The sequence below is a fragment of the Homo sapiens genome, chromosome 16 (assembly GCF_000001405.40).
Source record: "Homo sapiens chromosome 16, GRCh38.p14 Primary Assembly".
Taxonomy (NCBI): domain Eukaryota; kingdom Metazoa; phylum Chordata; class Mammalia; order Primates; family Hominidae; genus Homo; species Homo sapiens.
In genome coordinates, this window is record NC_000016.10 from 69,645,261 (window position 1) to 69,663,060 (window position 17,800).

The following is a 17,800-nucleotide window of genomic DNA, read 5'->3' on the forward strand; positions in this document are numbered from 1 at the left end:
ATAAGTTTTCCTTTAAATTGGAATGCAGTTTAAAGTGACTGAATTTTCCAATTTCAGCTACTGCATTTGAGAAGGATACATACTGGAAAATGGAACTGGTATCATCTAATTTCTTTAGACTCCTTCACTTATGGTAGTTGGGAAAAATCTTTCCATGTGGCATTATATAGATCATATTCTTGATGACTAATATTAATTACTGTGCTTTTTAGCCTTGACAGTAATGAAGAATTCTGGGTGGATATAGTTCATTCAAATAATTTAGGTGTATTTTAAATACATGTTTTCAATTGAAAAAAACAGATCTTTGGCACTTGGCTTTTAATTATGTAAACATTGACATTCTTACATTTTGCTCTTTATATTATAATTGATGTGTATGTTGCAATTCCAATAACTGCACATACAGTTTTATCATACACTTTAAAACAGTGGCATACTTGGTCATAGATACAAATTAATTTTAGATTGAAATATATCTTTGTCACATTACCTATTTTTATTTTTGTGTGTGTATGTAATGACAACCTTTCCATATTGTGAACAAGATAAAATGATATCTAAAATGTTAGTCATGACAACTTCCAACCTTAGCGATCAACGCGCCTCTGAGTTTATGCTGTTAAGGGCTAAAGTAATAGTATTTTCAGTGCGCTATTCTGCCAGTTGCCACACATGCTGAAAAGATCTACTTAAATCTTTCTTGCTAGGCATAACAGATAAATAGTTTTATAAAAAATATTAATTCTGATGCTCTCCAGAGATTTTTATGCTTAACTATTTTCTGTTAGATTTCAGCCAGTAAAATTTACCATTGTTCTTACATTGGAAAATTCCCTTACTAGTCACAATCAACCAGGTCCTTTAAAAAGAGAAAATGGACAGCTCTAACCAATTGTCAAGCATGTAATCAAGTACTTTATTAAGAGAAATCCATCCATTAATCAGTTCTTCCTTTGCTTTTCATTATGTCATAAAGGATGGATTTATTTTAGAGCTTATGGTTTTGAACTACCACTTCCAGCTTCTGGAGACCCAATGATTAACTTGCTTCTACAACCCAGAATGTTCCAAATCATACCTTTTTCATCTTGATTCTCCTAGATTTTACAACAAATCATAGTGACAATACCAGTTCCATTTTGCCTCCAATTCAGTTGATTATATATTTTTTCTATTTATTTCTCATTTTATAATTGATATCTGGAATAATCAGCAGCTCTTTTCTCATTTATTTTCTCATATTTTTATTCCAGGATTTGCCTCTGAAGCAGGGAGTGTCTGCATTAAAAATGACCTGTAGTTCTCTGCTTCATAGGTTAGAAACTTATTTTAATATTTTGTGGCTAAGCACAGTCCCACTTTTCAAATTCTATAATGAATTATTTAATTGGCATTGAATGTGGACCACCAGCATATATTTCATATTGGGGTTTTCTTTATTACTTTAAATGATTAAAATTCAATAGAATGTCCAGCTGAGGCAATAAAAGCTTTATTTTTGCTTTACAGCTTAAAACGTTAAATGAGATTTTAAAAATCTATGGATTGTAACATAAGTAAAATAATGCTATTTGGGCATTTTTAAAAATTCCATTTCTTAGGCCTTATATTGCTTGAAGCATTTATATTCTAAAACATAACCAAATTCTGACTATTCATTTTGGGGAAAAACAATCAGTTCACAAATCACATTTTCAATGGGACTGCTAGCCAGCATAGGTGAAAACATGTATAGTGTATTTACTCTTGAATTGTACACTGCAGATGCTTCTTCAGCTCCCTCCTCTTCCTCCATGGGCGGTGCTTGCAGCTCCTTTACCACCTCTTCCAGCCCTACCATTTATTCTACCTCAGTCACCGACAGCAAGGCTATGCAAGTGGAGAGCTGCTCCTCAGCCGTGGGGGTAAGTAACAGAGGGGTAAGTGAAAAGCAGTTAACCAGTAACACAGTTCAGCAGCATCCATCAACACCGAAGAGGCACACAGTCTTGTACATCTCACCACCACCTGAGGACTTGCTGGATAACAGTCGGATGTCCTGCCAGGATGAGGGGTGTGGATTGGAATCTGAGCAGAGCTGCAGTATGTGGATGGAGGATTCCCCCTCCAACTTCAGTAACATGAGCACCAGTTCCTACAATGATAACACTGAGGTACCTCGTAAATCACGAAAACGAAATCCAAAGCAGAGGCCGGGGGTCAAACGACGAGATTGTGAAGAATCTAATATGGATATATTTGATGCCGACAGTGCCAAAGCACCTCACTATGTGCTTTCTCAGCTTACCACGGACAACAAAGGCAACTCAAAAGCGGGAAATGGGTTGGTATTCACATTTTTTAAAATTCTATCATCATTATGCAAAACAAACAAACAAAAAAAATTCCCAATTTTTCCTAATTGCTGAGCTCAAGTTTGCATATAAAGCAACAGTGCTAATTTTATCATTGAAATACATGAAAATTTTAACTTAAAATTACCAACTTTTACTAGATAGAAAATAAAATAATCATAGATTCTAGCAATAGATATCTTATTATCAGTATAGTTAGGTAGTAGAAAATGAAAATAATCTGTTCTGAAATAAATTTCAAATGAATTTATATTTTAAAAGGACTTTTACTCAGCCAGGTGCGGTGGCTCACACCTGTAATCCCAGCACTTTGGGAGGCCGAGGCGGGCGGATCACCTGAGGTCAGGAGTTCGAGACCAGCCTGACCAACATGGTGAAACCCCATCTCTACTAAAAATACAAAAAAAATTAGCCGGGCATTGTGGCATGTGCCTGTAATCCCAGCTACTTGGGAGAACTGAGGCAGGGGAATCGCTTGAACCCAGGAGGCAGAGGTTGCAGTGAGCCGACATCACGCCACTGTACTCCAGCCTGGGCGACAAGAGCGAAACTCCATCTCAAAAAAAAAAAAACACCAAAAAAAAAACCGAAAGAACTAGCAATGTAATGACTCCATCCAAAACAACTCAAACAGTCACTAAGAGCTATGTTCTCTTTCCAATTGTGTCCTCATATGGTTTACATTTTTTAGAGGATTTTAGACTTAATTTTTTTCTCTTTAATTGATGAAAACAAGAAAAAACTAAATTGAGAGTTTGATTCTCATCATTTAGATTCATGTATCATAAGCTTTTTTCCTTTGATACTAATACATTGATTGTACAGAGTCGATATTTTTTTTAAATCACTCATTTTTTTTCTGTGATTCTGGGTTACTTATTTAGAGGGTGATGAAACAGGATCATGGTACATGTTTGAGTTTTCTTTCATCTCTGCCAGTCACACTACCCACTAATATAGTTCAATAGCTATGTTACAGAATATTCACTGCTATAATGCAGACTAGTATGACTTTTAATTCCTTTAGTAATTTTATTGTAATATTTAATTGCTAGACTTTTAAATTAGATTTTTGTATAGTACATTCAAAATAATTTGTTAAAATTTAACTCTCTAGGACCCAGGATCTCCTACAATTTCAGTTTTACACAAAAAGTGGTCAAGAAGCTTTAGATTGATTTACTACTTGATGACATCACTGATCTTTTTTTGGTTAAAAATTCAGTTGAATATTATAGAGAATATTCTTAATATATATTTAACTTGCCCTTAAGCACTCCCTCAGTACATTTTAAAAAGTAATATCTACCCTTTAAGCAATAATTACTCTACACCGCTTCTTTACCTCCTTAAGGGTGATGTAGTTAAATGAAAATGAATATTTAAATGCTTTTCAGTTTTAGAAAGTCCAGTTTAGTAAATTACCTAAAAGAAAATAAGATATACTCTTTCCTAAAATGTTGCCATTTAATAAAATCAAGAATTTCAGAACATAATATTTGTAGAACTATTACTTATAAAATAAGGCTCTGAAATGTAATGAATACAGCAGGTAAATACTTAAGTAACTGTGATAGTAACACAGATCTAAAAGTCTCATGAATATCATTTAATTACATATGTGTGTTTATTTGTGCTTTAGTGGAGAAAGTCTTTAATATAAAGTTCCAGAAGATAAATTTTCATTTTTATATCAAAATGAATGTTGAAGGTTCAAATTTAGAGCAAATAGAATTTTTACTTATGGCTAGTAAACAGTGATTTGCAGTTGCTAATTAAATATCTTGACCTTCATTTTTCTGCTTCTACTTTTGTATGATAGCTATATCTTAGAAATGATTTGAGGTTACCCAGGGAAAGTATAATGACATTGGTCAAGACAGACTCTTTCATGAAATAATTCATGGAGCAGAAATTCCATCAAGCAGAAGAAATGTCCAGCTTCTTAGGTAATGAAAAAAATATTTGAAACTAGTATATGGAAATGATGGAAGAATTTTAAAATTGGAATTTATAACAACTATATTGAGGAAAGGATGAAACCATACCTAAATATATAGAAAAATCGGCCTTAAAAATAATTTTTCAGAGCATGTCAAGCTAAAAGCCTGTATTCTTCAACAGTGAAAAAAATCTTAAAATGTTTTGAGAGATAAGGATATAGCCTTAGATCTAATGTGCCATAAATCTACAATTTATATCATACTAAGTATTTAGAAAATGTACTTTAAAATGTATACAGCAGTTTATTGATCTTCAAGATACCACATAGAAATCTGATAGCTTGTAGATGAAAATAGCATTTTTATATGACTAAGATGTTAGAGTCTAATAAGAGAATAAAACCATTAAAAAAAAAAGCTTAGTATTTGAATATTCCTAGCCATATCATTCTTAAATTTCTCAACTAAATGTCCTGAGAATCAGTTGCCCCATGTCTCTTCTAGATATTTCTATAAGTTAAGATAGGATGTCATCTGGATGTGAAACCTACTTTAGGCTTTTTGTAATGAAAATTATTTTTTTGACATAGGTCACCAGAAGGATTATGCGGCACGAATAAATTAGAATGTCATTTTAAGACTTCTGAATAGAATATGCCATGATGGTGGATTTTCCTTTTTGGTTGTCATTTAGAAGTAAAATCCCATGTAACTGACTGCTACTTTATTTTTTCTTAAGCCATCATGCCTTAAAAATTAGTAACTTGACTACGTTTCTAAGCATTAGTGGATGTTTTCATGGTTTTACATGTCTATACATCTCAATATGTATGTATTCCATTTTTACATTTTAGAAAAAAAAGATAGTTTTAAGAACTTCTAAAGTACCATTTTAGAAATTGCTTAATTACATGATATTCTTCTTTAAGCCATAATGTGTATACTCACTCAATACTTCATCCCAAGTGAGATCATTTGTTTTGCTAGACTAGTAAAACTCACTTTCATTTATTTGCCCTTATAAATATTAGCTTGACTAGCATAAGTGAGTATAAAAACATGTCTTGCCAAGTTAATCGATATGCTCTATGAATTTTCCTTGTATTTCAAACTAAAATTTTCCCTTTTCTATTATAAAATTGATACATATGAATTACAAATATTTGAAAAATACAAGAAAACCTCATAATCTAGTCACTCAGTAAATCTGCTATTATCATTTTGCAGTATTTTCTTTCATCTCTTTGTATGTATATTTGGGGGATATTTCTACATAGTTTCAATAAATGAATATTTTTACTTTAAGATTAGTATAAAACAGAATATCATAGACTTTCATGTGTGAGGAACTGCACACTAGTTAGACCAAATGTTTGAATCTGTACCCAGAATGATGAAAAGAAAAACAGGGTTTACTGCCCATTGTTCCAGCTTCAACTTGATACTTATGTTCATAGAATTTATTCTTCCAGGGCCTTTTAAATGACTTGCACAAGTAATCTTTGATTTACTTATGTCAAATTTACACGAATGGCATTCCTTGTCCAGTTAGGATCTTTCTCATCTTAATATTACAGAAGCTTCTTTATCCCTCTGCTTTCCTTTCTTTGTCCCTTTCTTCTTCTTTGCCTTCATCAACAAACATTTCTTCAGCACCTGTTATGTTTCAGGAAGTGTGCCAGGTTCAGGGAATATAAAGATGATTAAGCACAGTATTGCGCCTTGAGAACTTTTCCTCTCATCTATCAGTCTTACTGAATTCCTATGCTAGTTTCATTCCTTCTTTGCTCCATTCTTTTGCCTCTTTCCTAGCCAAGGATTCAACCTACTCCCCATTTCCATTGAAGATAGTGCCTTTCCTCACTTTGTTCTTGATGATTAAGGCAACAACTTGGTTACAGCTGGAGGGGTAAACATTAGAGCCAGGTTTAAGCCTGCTTAGCTTCTCTGTGTTTGAAGTCGTAATATTCCTACTGGAATCTGGTTGCTTTTAGAGGAGATTTTTCTTCACAGTCATCTGGCTCCTGGATCTTTGATGTGAGTCAAAACTTAGGACTAGGAGGGTCACAGAGAAAGCTATGACCCTGACTTTATTTAAAAACATACGTGAATTTTTTTTTTTTTTTTGAGACGGAGTTTTGCTCTTGTTGACCAGGCTGGAGTGCAATGGCACGATCTGGGCTCACTGCAACCTGCACCTCCTGGGTTCAAGTGATTCTCCTGCCTCAGCCTCCCGAGTAGATGGGATTACAGGTGCCTGCCACCACTCCTGGCTAATTTTTTGTAGTTTTAGTAGAGACGGGGTTTCACCATGTTGGCCAGGATGGTCTCAAACTCCTGACCTCAGGTGATCCACCCCGCTTGGCCTCCCAAAGTGCTGGAATTACAGGTGTGGGACACCACACCATTGCTCAAAAGGAAAGATAACTAACAATATTGTTTTTACTTGTTTTTATTATGTATTTGCAGTGCTTCAACTATTTTACAGATTAAATGTGTTTGCCTGAAGTCATAACCACCATTTGGGATACTGTTTTTCTTTGAACATGCATTCCACATAGCAAATGCATTATAAATAAATGTTAAAAAGCATAACTAAAAAAAATAAGGGCCAGGTGCAGTGGCTCATGCTTGTAATCCCAGCACTTTGGGAGACTGAGGCGGGAGGATCACCTGAGGTCAGGAGTTCGAGACCAGCCTGGACAACATGGTGAAACCCCATCTCTAACAAAAATATAAAAATTAGCTGGGCTTGGTGGCACACGCCTGTAATCCCAGCTACTTGGGAGGCTGAGGCAGGAGAATCACTTGAACCCAGGAAACAGAGGTTACAGTGAGCTGAGATTGTGCCACTGCACTCCAGCCTGGATGACAGAGTAAAACTCCATCTCAGAAAAAAAAAAAAAAAAAGGTAGAATGCTGGTGCTGTAAAGCCCAGATTGTAAAAATTTTTATTGAGGGCTTTAATTACTTAACTAATCACAGATAAAAATAATCTGAAAAATCACACTCCTAGAAAAGATTGTTTAGAGTAAAGCTAATTTCCCAATAAAAATTGAATCGCTAATTTTTTATCTAATTTCTTCAGTTTGGTTTACTGAGAAGGATACTCAAAAGAATAAGCTACATATACCTTCATTTGGTTTGTAGGCCATTTTGTATGGGGGTATGTAGGGTTTTTGGGGGTTTGTTTTTTGTTTTCGCTACCCTCACTTCTTTTACTGTGCAGTTAAAAAATAACAGTAGTTAATCTTATAGCTTTATATAAATTTTGGAATTTATATGTGGAATGCATACATGGAATTTTTAAATCTTATTTTGACTGAAGTACAATGTTAAAGGTTATAGTGACATTAGCTATTCTTTCCTGTTAGTCTCAGTTTATTGCGCTCAATCTTCCTCCCTTCCTCCTACCACTCACATACGTTCATTTTCTTTTCTGTCAAACATACTTTGTTTTATTTTTGCATCATATAGTAAACTTTTTTACAAAACCTTTTTAAAGATACTTTGCTCATGTATCTTCCTTTAGGCAATATTTTATTTTGCCAGCAAGCTGAATAGTTGTTTTTACTATTATTGCCAGTTCTGTTTCTTCCTTTGTCTTAATGGCTTTTTTTTTTTATCAAAAAACTCTTTTTGATACTTTCTCCATGTTGTGCTTTGATTTCTCAGAACATTGGAAAACCAAAAAGGAACTGGAGTAAAGAAGAGCCCTATGTTGTGTGGACAATATCCTGTTAAAAGTGAGGGAAAGGAGCTGAAGATAGTTGTACAACCTGAGACACAGCACCGAGCTCGGTACCTGACTGAGGGCAGCCGTGGCTCAGTGAAAGATAGAACACAGCAAGGCTTTCCTACAGTAAAGGTATTTACTTTATTTATCATTTGAATTTTAGTTAAAATGTAAAGGGGAATGAGAATATGTCCTGAAAAGTAAAATATTTTCAAATCATGAATTTTCTTCCCTCATATTTGATATTTGAATTAGATTCATCCCAAACTTTAGAAAGAATTTTTTTTTTTTTTTTTTGAGACAGAGTCTCACTCTGTCACCCAGGCTGGAGTGCAGTGGTGTGATCTCAGCTCACTGCAGCCTCTGCCTCCGGGGTGCAAGTAATCATGCCTCAGCCACCTGAGTAGCTGGGACTACAGGTGTGTGCCACCAGGCCCAGCTAATTTTTGTATTTTAGTAGTGTCGCAGTTTCACCATGTTGGCGAGACTGGTCTGGAACTCCTGATCTCAAGTGATCCTCCCGCCTTGGAGGAAGAAATATTAAAGTGAATTCAGAGAAATACAGTAGAAATTATTAAGAACTTTGAAAATAAGGTTTTTGAGATGGTTATAGTAATCAAGACTATTGGACTGAGAAAAGACTTGATTAATACTTAAGGCTTACGGTTTAAGAAATGGGATATCATTTGCATCCACTCAAGTACAGGAGGAAAGAAGGAAATGAGGAAAAAAAAAGAAATGAGGTATCAATTGAGTCTTAATTTTTTTTACAGTTGAGACTAAAAGTTAAAAGGGACTTAAATTTTAGCACCTAGGATATCTTGGTATAAAGAATATTTGTCTTTGAAGACAAACCTCAAAAAAATGGGGGAATGGGGAGAGGACTTAACAAGTGTCCCTACCCCTTGCTAAATACTAAATAGGGAGGAATTTTGGCTAGTCATATGGTAGATTCTTATTAAATACAGTTTGTATAAATATGTTAGTTGAACAGTATTTTAAGTTAGGAGTAGAGGTGGACTGCCTTTCATTTTATACTTGAATGAAATTATGATTGAAACTCTGGATCAATCAGGAAACGTGTCTGCCACCATTTATAAGGTTGTTAATAGTCACGTGTACAATATCAAGTCTACCCTTCTTCACTACATACTACCTTAACCCACACCCAGTCCTTCAATCCCAGGACAGGTAACAGGCAAGTGAGAAATCTATGTTATGCTTTGTGTAAATATTTGTCTAGCTAGATATTTTGGTAGTTTGGTCATTACGTTTAACCTAATTGCCCTGACTTTAAGTTATGTTTTGTCTAGTTAGAAGTATTGTTAGATTAATTGCTTAACTATGATAGGGAATGAATTGACCTTAAAAGTTTGTTTAGTCATTCATTCAACAAATACTACACTCCTCCATGTGCCAGGCACTGTTCTAGATTCTGCTGACCAGCAATTTGACTAGTTTGCTTATTTTCCTCATTATGATACCATTTTATAGAGATGTAGCTGTACTGGAATAGAAAAGATGTGTGAATTTTTTAAGTACTTTGTTTGGCATGCATTGTACAATTTACTTTGTGATTTTCTGCATTCTATATTAGGAGCTTCAATGTTTAACTATAAGCCTCATCAAGAATCAGGATTGGAAACATTTGTTCCCAAATGCTGTTTTAAATATTTATTTATTTTTCAGCATACAAATTATAATTTAATTTATGAAGGCTTGCTAGAGACCTGTAATGATCCATAGATCCCCGTTTGAACTAGCAGTCTCTCAGACCATAATGTTTTGTCTCAGGATTTAATGATGTTATATGTATGTATCTAGTCCGTGAAAATGAGCTTCATTTCCTTCTTATTCATATAGCTGCACTCATACTTTTCTATTCAAGTAGCTTTAGTAGAATAAAAATTTGGTATATGTGCTCTCATTTGATGATGATGATGATGCCACTAACAGTTTTGTGAGTTTTCCCATTAGTTATGGTGGTAGGTCCTGAGCAACCCAAATGCTGCCTGAAGTACTGTGCATTCATTCTCATCTGCTTGTACAAATAAATTATAAATGATAATTTATCATCTAACATCTAAATTTATAATTTAAGTATAGTTATTACAGAATTAAAACTATGACTTACTTCAGGAATTTAGCCAACTCTTTTATGAAAATGTTTTATCTCTATTTTTCTTGAAGATTTAAATTTTTTTAAATGTAATTCAGTTACAAGTATAGGATTTGGTCTTAAATATTTGATTTTATAATTAGATTATTTGAAATACTAATTAGTGTTTCTGTTGCATGTTTTCTGGTTTCAGCTGGAAGGCCATAATGAACCTGTAGTGTTGCAAGTGTTTGTGGGCAACGACTCTGGACGAGTGAAACCACATGGATTTTATCAGGCCTGCAGAGTAACTGGACGAAATACAACTCCTTGCAAAGAAGTGGACATTGAAGGCACTACTGTTATAGAAGTCGGCCTTGATCCTAGCAACAACATGACACTGGCGTAAGTACTTAGTAAGAATTTTTCATTATACATTACACTCTTGTGTTAGGCAGAATTGTTCAGTTTCTAATGTATAGAAGATTTTTTGCGTATTTTATTAAAATGTTTTAAATATTATGAATAAAAAAAGACATTACTTCAGAATGGTAATGGGTTAAAATTAACTCTTTTACCATTTGCTAAAGAATTCCCATGGTTGGGCCAGGCGCAGTGGCTCATGCCTATAATCCCAGTGCTTTTGGAGTCTGAGGCTGGTGGATCACCTGAGGTCAGGAGTTAGAGACCAGCCTGGCCAACATGGTGAAACCCTGTCTCTACTGAAAGTACAAAAATTAGCTGGGTGTGGTGGCACGTGCCTGTAATCCCAGCTACTTGGGAGGCTGAGGCAGGAGAATCACTTGAACCCAGGAGGCGGAGTTTGCAGTGAGCCGAGATTGTGCCACTGCCCTCCAAGCTGGGCAACAAAGCGAGACTCTGTCTCACAAAAAAAAAAAAAAAAAAAAGAATTCCCGTGGTAAAGGCAGGGAAATCAAAGCCAAGTGGAAAGCTGGCCAAAGACTTACTTTTTTGGGTTTATAATAGTAACATTGAAAATAAAAACTTCAATTTGATTTGCTTTCCTGAATTCCACTTTCTTAATGTTTGCTTTAAAAACTTTTTTTTTTTTTTTGAGACAGAGTCTCCGTCTGTCGCCCAGGCTGGAGTGCAGTGGTGCTATCTCTGCTTACTACAACCTCTGCCTCCCAGGTTCAAGTGATTCTCCCTGCCTCAGCCTCCCAAGTAGCTGAGATTACAGGCATCTGCCACCACACCCGGCTAATTTTGTATTTTTAGTAGAGTCGGGGTTTCACCATCTTGGCCAGGCTGGTCTCCAACTCCTGACCTCAGGTAATCCACACACCTTGGCCTCCCAAAGTGCTGGGATTACAGGCATGAGCCGCTGCACCCAGCCGAAAAACTGTTCAGCAGAGACTATGAAGTGCCTTATTCCATCTTGATGTGAAACACATATTGCTGGTTTAAATTCACCGTCTGTTGTTATTTTCCTCTGTTTAAAAAATATATATCTTTAGATTTAGATTATGTGTTTTTCATCTTGTGCATTTAAATTTTAAAAATTATTTTTCCTTAAGCCTTTTGTAAAGGACCTTTAATCCTAAAATTGAACCGTAACAGCAGGAAATATATTGGTATGGGGTAGATCTATGTTGTAATTATTTGTATATTGGATAGTTGCTAAAGACTTTACTTGGTTTTCAGTTTTCTTTTGAAAGCCATTTTAAATAGATTGGTAAAAGGTTAGTTGGAAAAGACATTTTGAGAAATATTTTGTAAATTTTTTTTTTTTGGAGAGGGAGTCTTGCTTTGTTGCCCAAGCTGCAGTGGAGTGGCACGATCTCGGCTCACTGCAACCTCCACCTCCTGGGTTCAAGCGATTCTCCTCCCTCAGCCTCCCGAGTAGCTTGGATTACAGGCGCCCACCACCGTACCTGGCTAATTTTTGTATTTTAGTAGAGACGGGGTTTCACTGTGTAGGTCAAGCTGGTCTTGAACTCCTGACCTCAAATGATCCGCCCACCTCAGGCTCCCAAAGTGCTGGGATTACAGGCGTGAGCCACCGTGCCTGGCCTCATAAATATTTTTTAACTTGTAACTTTTGAAAATTACTAAAAAAGGGGCTGGGCACGCAGTGGCTCACACCTGTAATCCCAGCACTTTGGGAGGCCGAGGCAGGTGGATCACTAAGTCAGGAGTTCAAGACCAGCCTGGCCAAGATGGAGAAACCCTGTCTCTACTAAAAATACAAAAAATTAGCCAGGCGTGGTGGTGGGCGCCTGTAATCCAAGCTACTTGGGAGGCCAAAGCAGAGAATTGCTTGAAGCCGGGAGGTGGAGGTTGCAGTGAGCTGAGATCATGCCACTGCACTCCAGCCTGGGCAACAGAGCAAGACTCCATCTCAAAAAAAAAAAAAAAAAAAGACAATTATAAAAATAAATACATATAGGCCGGGCGCAGTGGCTCACGCCTGTAATCCCAGCACTTTGGGAGGCCGAGGCAGGCGGATCACGAGGTCAGGAGATCGAGACCATCCTGGCTGTCATGGTGAAACCCCGTCTCTACTAAAAATACAAAAAATTAGCCAGGCGTGGTGGCGGGCGCCTGTAGTCCCAGCTACTCCAGAGGCTGAGGCAGGAGAATGGCGTGAACCCGGGAGGCAGACTTGCAGCGAGCCAAGATCGCTCCACTGCACTCCAGCCTGGGCGACAGGGCGAGACTTGTCTCAAAAAAAAAAAAATAAATAAAGTAAAATAAATAAATAAATACATATAGTAGAGGAGGAAAGGAAGGAATTTACTGATTATAAAAATAGTACTTATTCAATATAAGAAAGTTGAAAACAGGCCAGGCGTGCTGGCTCATGCCTGTAATCCCAATGCTTTGGAAAGCTGAGGCATGCAGATCATCTGAGGCCAGGACTTTGAGACCAGCCTGGCCAACATGGCGAAACCCCATCTCTACTAAAAATATAGAAATTAGCCAGGAGTGGTGGTGCATGCCTGTAGTCCCAGCTACTTGAGAGGTTGAGGCAGGAGAATCTCTGGAACCCTGGAGGCAGAGGCTGCAGTGAGCTGAGATTGCAACATTGTGCTCCAGCCTGGGCAACAAGAGCGAAACTCTGTCTCAAAAAAAAAAAAAAAAGTTGAAAACACAGGGTAAAAAAAGCTAAAAACATGCCCTTTAAAAACTAACTTGTGGCCTGGCACAGTGGCTTGTAATCCCAACACTGGGAGGCTGAGGTGGACAGATCTCTTGAGCCAGGAGTTCGAGACCAACCTAGGCAACATAGTAAGACTCCGACTGTACTAAAAATACAAAAGTGAGCTGGAGTGGTGGTGCGTGCCTGTAATCCCAGCTACTCAGGAGGCTGAGGCATGAGAATTACCTGAACCCAGGAGGGAGAGGTTGTAGTGAGCTGAGGTAGCGCCATTGCGCTCAGGCCTGGGTGACAGAGCGAGACTCTGTCTCAAAAAAATAAAATAAAAATATAAATAAAAAACAACTTCCTGGAAATAACCGCTATTTTAATGTGTATCTTCCCAGTCTTTTTTGGACAAAATTGAGAAAATACTGTACCCACTGTTTTGTAATCTGCTTTTTACTTAACATATCATGAGCATTTTTCACATATCATTCAATGTGGTAACATACTTTTTAGTGGCTATTATTCTATCCTTCTGGAGGCAGCTACTAATTTTTTAAAAGTAAAATCCATTTTATCTGTTTTCTGAATTAGCTCTGTAAAGAAAGAGACTAAATGTATTTTTTTATTTTTTTTTTTTTTTTAAAAAAAAGGTCTCTGGCCAGGTATGGTTGCTCATGCCTGTAATCCCAGCACTTTGGGAGGCCAGGGTGGGTGGATCACTTGAGGACAGGAGTTCAAGACCGGCCTGGCCAACATGGTGTAACCCCATCTTTACTAAAAATACAAAAAATAGTTGGGCATGGTGGCGGCCACCTGTAATCCCAGCTACTCAGGAGGCTGAGGCAGGAGAATCCCTTGAACCCCAGGAGACAGAGGTTGCAGTGAGCCGAGATCACGCCACTGCACTCCAGCCTGGGTGACAGTGAGACTCCATCTCAAAAAAAAAGATCTCTTATAAGCCATTATTTATGTTCAGATTTTAAAATAGTGATTTTATTTTTTTTACTTTTTATTATTATAAACAAAAGATTGACAGGATTAGGAACAGTGGTGAATGTTTAGAATTTACCCTTTTGTACTTTTTGAACTTGGAACTTTGTAACTTTATTACATATTCACAGAATTAATAGATAAGCAAAATTTTAAAAACAAACTTGTTGATTAAGAACATTATACTATTTATACAACAAAATGTCCCTTTATATATTTTTTTTCTGTATTAGGGTGGACTGCGTAGGGATATTGAAATTGAGGAATGCTGATGTCGAAGCCAGAATAGGAATTGCTGGTTCCAAGAAGAAAAGCACTCGTGCCAGATTGGTTTTTCGAGTTAATATCATGAGGAAAGATGGCTCCACTTTGACACTGCAAACACCCTCTTCTCCAATTTTGTGTAGTAAGTAAGAAGATACGGAGATACTAAACATATGGAGTTTCTTTCATTTTCTGTTAATCTTTTAGACATCTCTAAATTTTAGATATTTCATATGCTCCGGCTTGTGATCATGCAAAATTTGAAATATTTTAAAAGCAGTAGTCAGATTTTCTAGACCAAACTAGAGGTGAATACTTGGGATACAATTCAAAAGATGTGGAACATTTTGTAGTTTCCTATTATCATAATATGCTGATTTAAAAAGTAATTTGGACCAGACAGGGTGGCTCCCAGCACTTTGGGAGGCCAAGGTGGGAGGATCACTTCAGCCCAGGAGTTTAAGACCAGCCTGGGCAATGTAGTGAAAATCCTGTCTCTACAAAATAAAAAAATATATATAATAAGTTGGGTGTGATGGCTTGTGCCTGTAGTTTCAGCTACTCAGGAAGGTGAGGCAAGAGGATCACTTGAGCCCTAGGAGGTCAAGGCTGCAGTGAGCCTTGAGCGTGCCACTGCACGCCAGCCTGGGCAGCAGACTGCGACTGTCTCAAAAAAAAAGAAAGTAATTTGAGCTGGTTATCAGAAGTAAATTACAAAGCGAAAGCATTTTCTAAGCATCTTCACTGTGTGGTAAATTACTGTGGTTCTAACTGTTTTGTGTTAGAACATGAGTAAGGTAAGCAGAACTTTGCAAATAACAACATGTCAGAAGTTTCAATTATTAATTATAATATTATAGTATAGTGTTGGGAGTGGGAAATTCAATTCTTATCACTAACCTTGACATGGATAGAAAATGATGTGTGCGTGTTTGTGTGTGTAAATTCAATTATGTTGTTATATATGTCTCACCATAATTGTAGTTTCTCTCTAATGATTATTGTTATAGGTAATAAATAGGAAAAATTTTCCTTTTCACGTCTCTCTCTCTCTTTTTTTTTTCTTTTTTGAGATGGAGTTTCGCTTGTTGCCCAGGCTGGAGTGCAATGGTGTGATCTCTGCTTACAGCAACCTCCACCTCCCAGGCTCAAGCGATTCTCCTGCCTCAGCCTCCCGAGTAGCTGGGATTACAGGTGTGTGCCACTAGCACCTGGCTAATTTTTGTATTTTTAGTAGAGGTGGGGTTTCACCCTGTTGGCCAGGCTGGTCTTGAACTCCTGACCTCAAATGATCTGCCCACTCCTCCCAGCACCCCCCACCACCCTTTTTTTTTTTTTTTTTGTTAGATTGTGGCTCATGCCTGTAATACCAGCACTTTGAGAGGCCAAGGCAGGAGGACAGGAGTTTGAGACCAGCCGAGGCTGGTCTCTCTTCCTGTTTCCTTCTGTCTCCCATTCCAATCCCAGCTCTTCTTACTAACCAACTTTGTTTTCACCTCTCATTTTACTCCAGCTGTTTAAACCTGCCAAAAAGTTTGTATTCATGGAAACTAACATAAGCCAGAAACTTATAATGGAAGTGTATTGAACAACATAATGAGAGAACCTGTCTTTACAAAAATTAAAAAAAAAAAAAAAAGCCAGGCATGGTGGCATGTGCCTGTAGTCCCAGCTACTCAGGAGGCTGAGGCAGAAGGATCACTTGAGCCCAGGAGTTTTGAGATAGCAGTGAGCTATGATCACACCACTGCACTCCAGCCTGTATAAGAGACCCAGTCTCTTAAAAAAAAAAAAAAAAAAAAAAAAAAAAGGAAATTGTTCAGATGAGTGCTTTTTGTTTTTAATTTTTATTGTGTTCTGATAACAAAATATGCCTCATTGCTCATTCAGTCACTCATTTAGTCAACATAAATTAAATGCAGTTGTTCTCAATCCTGGGTGTAGGTTCGAGTCACCTGTAGTGCTTTAAAACAAACAAAAAGGCATGCCAATTGATGATTTGTTTTTGGAAAACTTCATAGTTAATTCAATGGATAGTTACAGTGTGCCTAACTCTGAAATTAAAGATTATAGTTTAAGGAGCTTACAGTTTAGCAGGCTGGGGAAAAAACAGGCAAGTAAATGTCTAATTTTATAGTAAAATTATATTAACTTCCATATATGTGTATATAAAATTGTATATAGGCCAGGCGTGGGAGCTCACACCTATAATCGGAGCACTTTGGGAGGCCAAGGCAGGGGGATTGCTTGAGCCCAGGAGTTTCAGATTAGCTTGGGCAACAAAGCAAGACCCTGTCTCTATTTTTTTAATTGCATATAAAAATTATATAAGCTTCCAATTGTATTATAAAGTTATATAAAGATACTATACTGCACAGTAGCTGTGTGAATAAAGTACAGTGGAAACATAGTAAGAGCATCTAATTCAGACTGCTCAGAGATGGTAGAACTTGTTCTGTCTTGTCTTAAAACACAAATAGAAGTAAAACAAGTAAAATGGGATTTACTTGAAAAATTTTCATATCTACCCTTCTGTAGTAATTCTGGGCAGAGGGATTCATGTATAAATATGCTCCCTGGAAGGATATGATTCTTTTGGGGGAAATAAAAAGAGTTTTATGTGATTGGAATAAAAAGATATACATTATGAAGTGGTAAGATTTGAGGTTACAGAGGTAGACAACACCTCTTTCTTTTTTTTTTTTTTTTTTTTTTTTGAGACGGAGTCTCGCTCTGTTGCCCAGGCTGAAGTGCAGTGGCATCATGATCTCTGCTCACTGCAAGCTCCACCTCCCGGGTTCCCGCCATTCTCCTGCCTCAGCCTCCCGAGTAGCTGGGACTACAGGCACCCGCCACCACGCCCGGCTAATTTTTTGTATTTTTTAGTAGAGACGGGGTTTCACCGTGTTAGCCAGGATGGTCTCGATCTCCTGAGCTCGTGATCTGCCTGCCTCGGCCTCCCAAAGTGCTGGGGTTACAGGCGTGAGCCACTGCGCCCGGCCGACAACACCTCTTTCATAAAGAGACTTGTGTATTCAGCAAAATAATTTGAATTTTATCCTGACCACTTAGGAAGCTTGATGCTTGAACTTGCGACTTTGAGGGCTGGATATGGGAGGAAAAGAAGAATAAACATAAAAATGATCTACAGTAAAACACAGGACCCAAAAAATCTTTTTATTTAAAAAAATTAAAATGTTTGTTCCATTATAAGTTTCTGGCTTGTATTTCTTTCCGTGAATATAAACTTTTTGGCAGCTTTAAGCAGTTGCAGTAAAATGAGAGGTAAAAAGGAAATTGGTT

At 37.0% G+C, this 17,800-nt stretch overlaps 1 protein-coding gene across 18 annotated transcripts in view; it reads left to right on the top strand.

Annotated features, from left to right (window-relative positions):
- NFAT5 (nuclear factor of activated T cells 5) overlaps window positions 1-17,800 on the top strand; it is a 138,689-nt gene that overhangs the window by 79,295 nt on the left and 41,594 nt on the right. For 5 of the 18 annotated variants that reach the window (XR_007064848.1, NM_138713.4, NM_001113178.3 and 2 more), the window contains 4 exons: window positions 1,768-2,326; window positions 7,976-8,168; window positions 10,349-10,539; window positions 14,467-14,639. Coding sequence is in view for 17 of the 18 variants with exons in the window: in NM_138713.4 (NP_619727.2) it covers window positions 1,768-2,326; window positions 7,976-8,168; window positions 10,349-10,539; window positions 14,467-14,639 (1,116 nt within the window). In the remaining variant the exon portion in view is untranslated. Of the gene's footprint in view, window positions 1-1,256; window positions 2,327-7,975; window positions 8,169-10,348; window positions 10,540-14,466; window positions 14,640-17,800 lie in introns of all 18 variants that reach the window. The other 13 variants (NM_138714.4, NM_173214.3, NM_173215.3 and 10 more) reach the window with 4 other exon arrangements.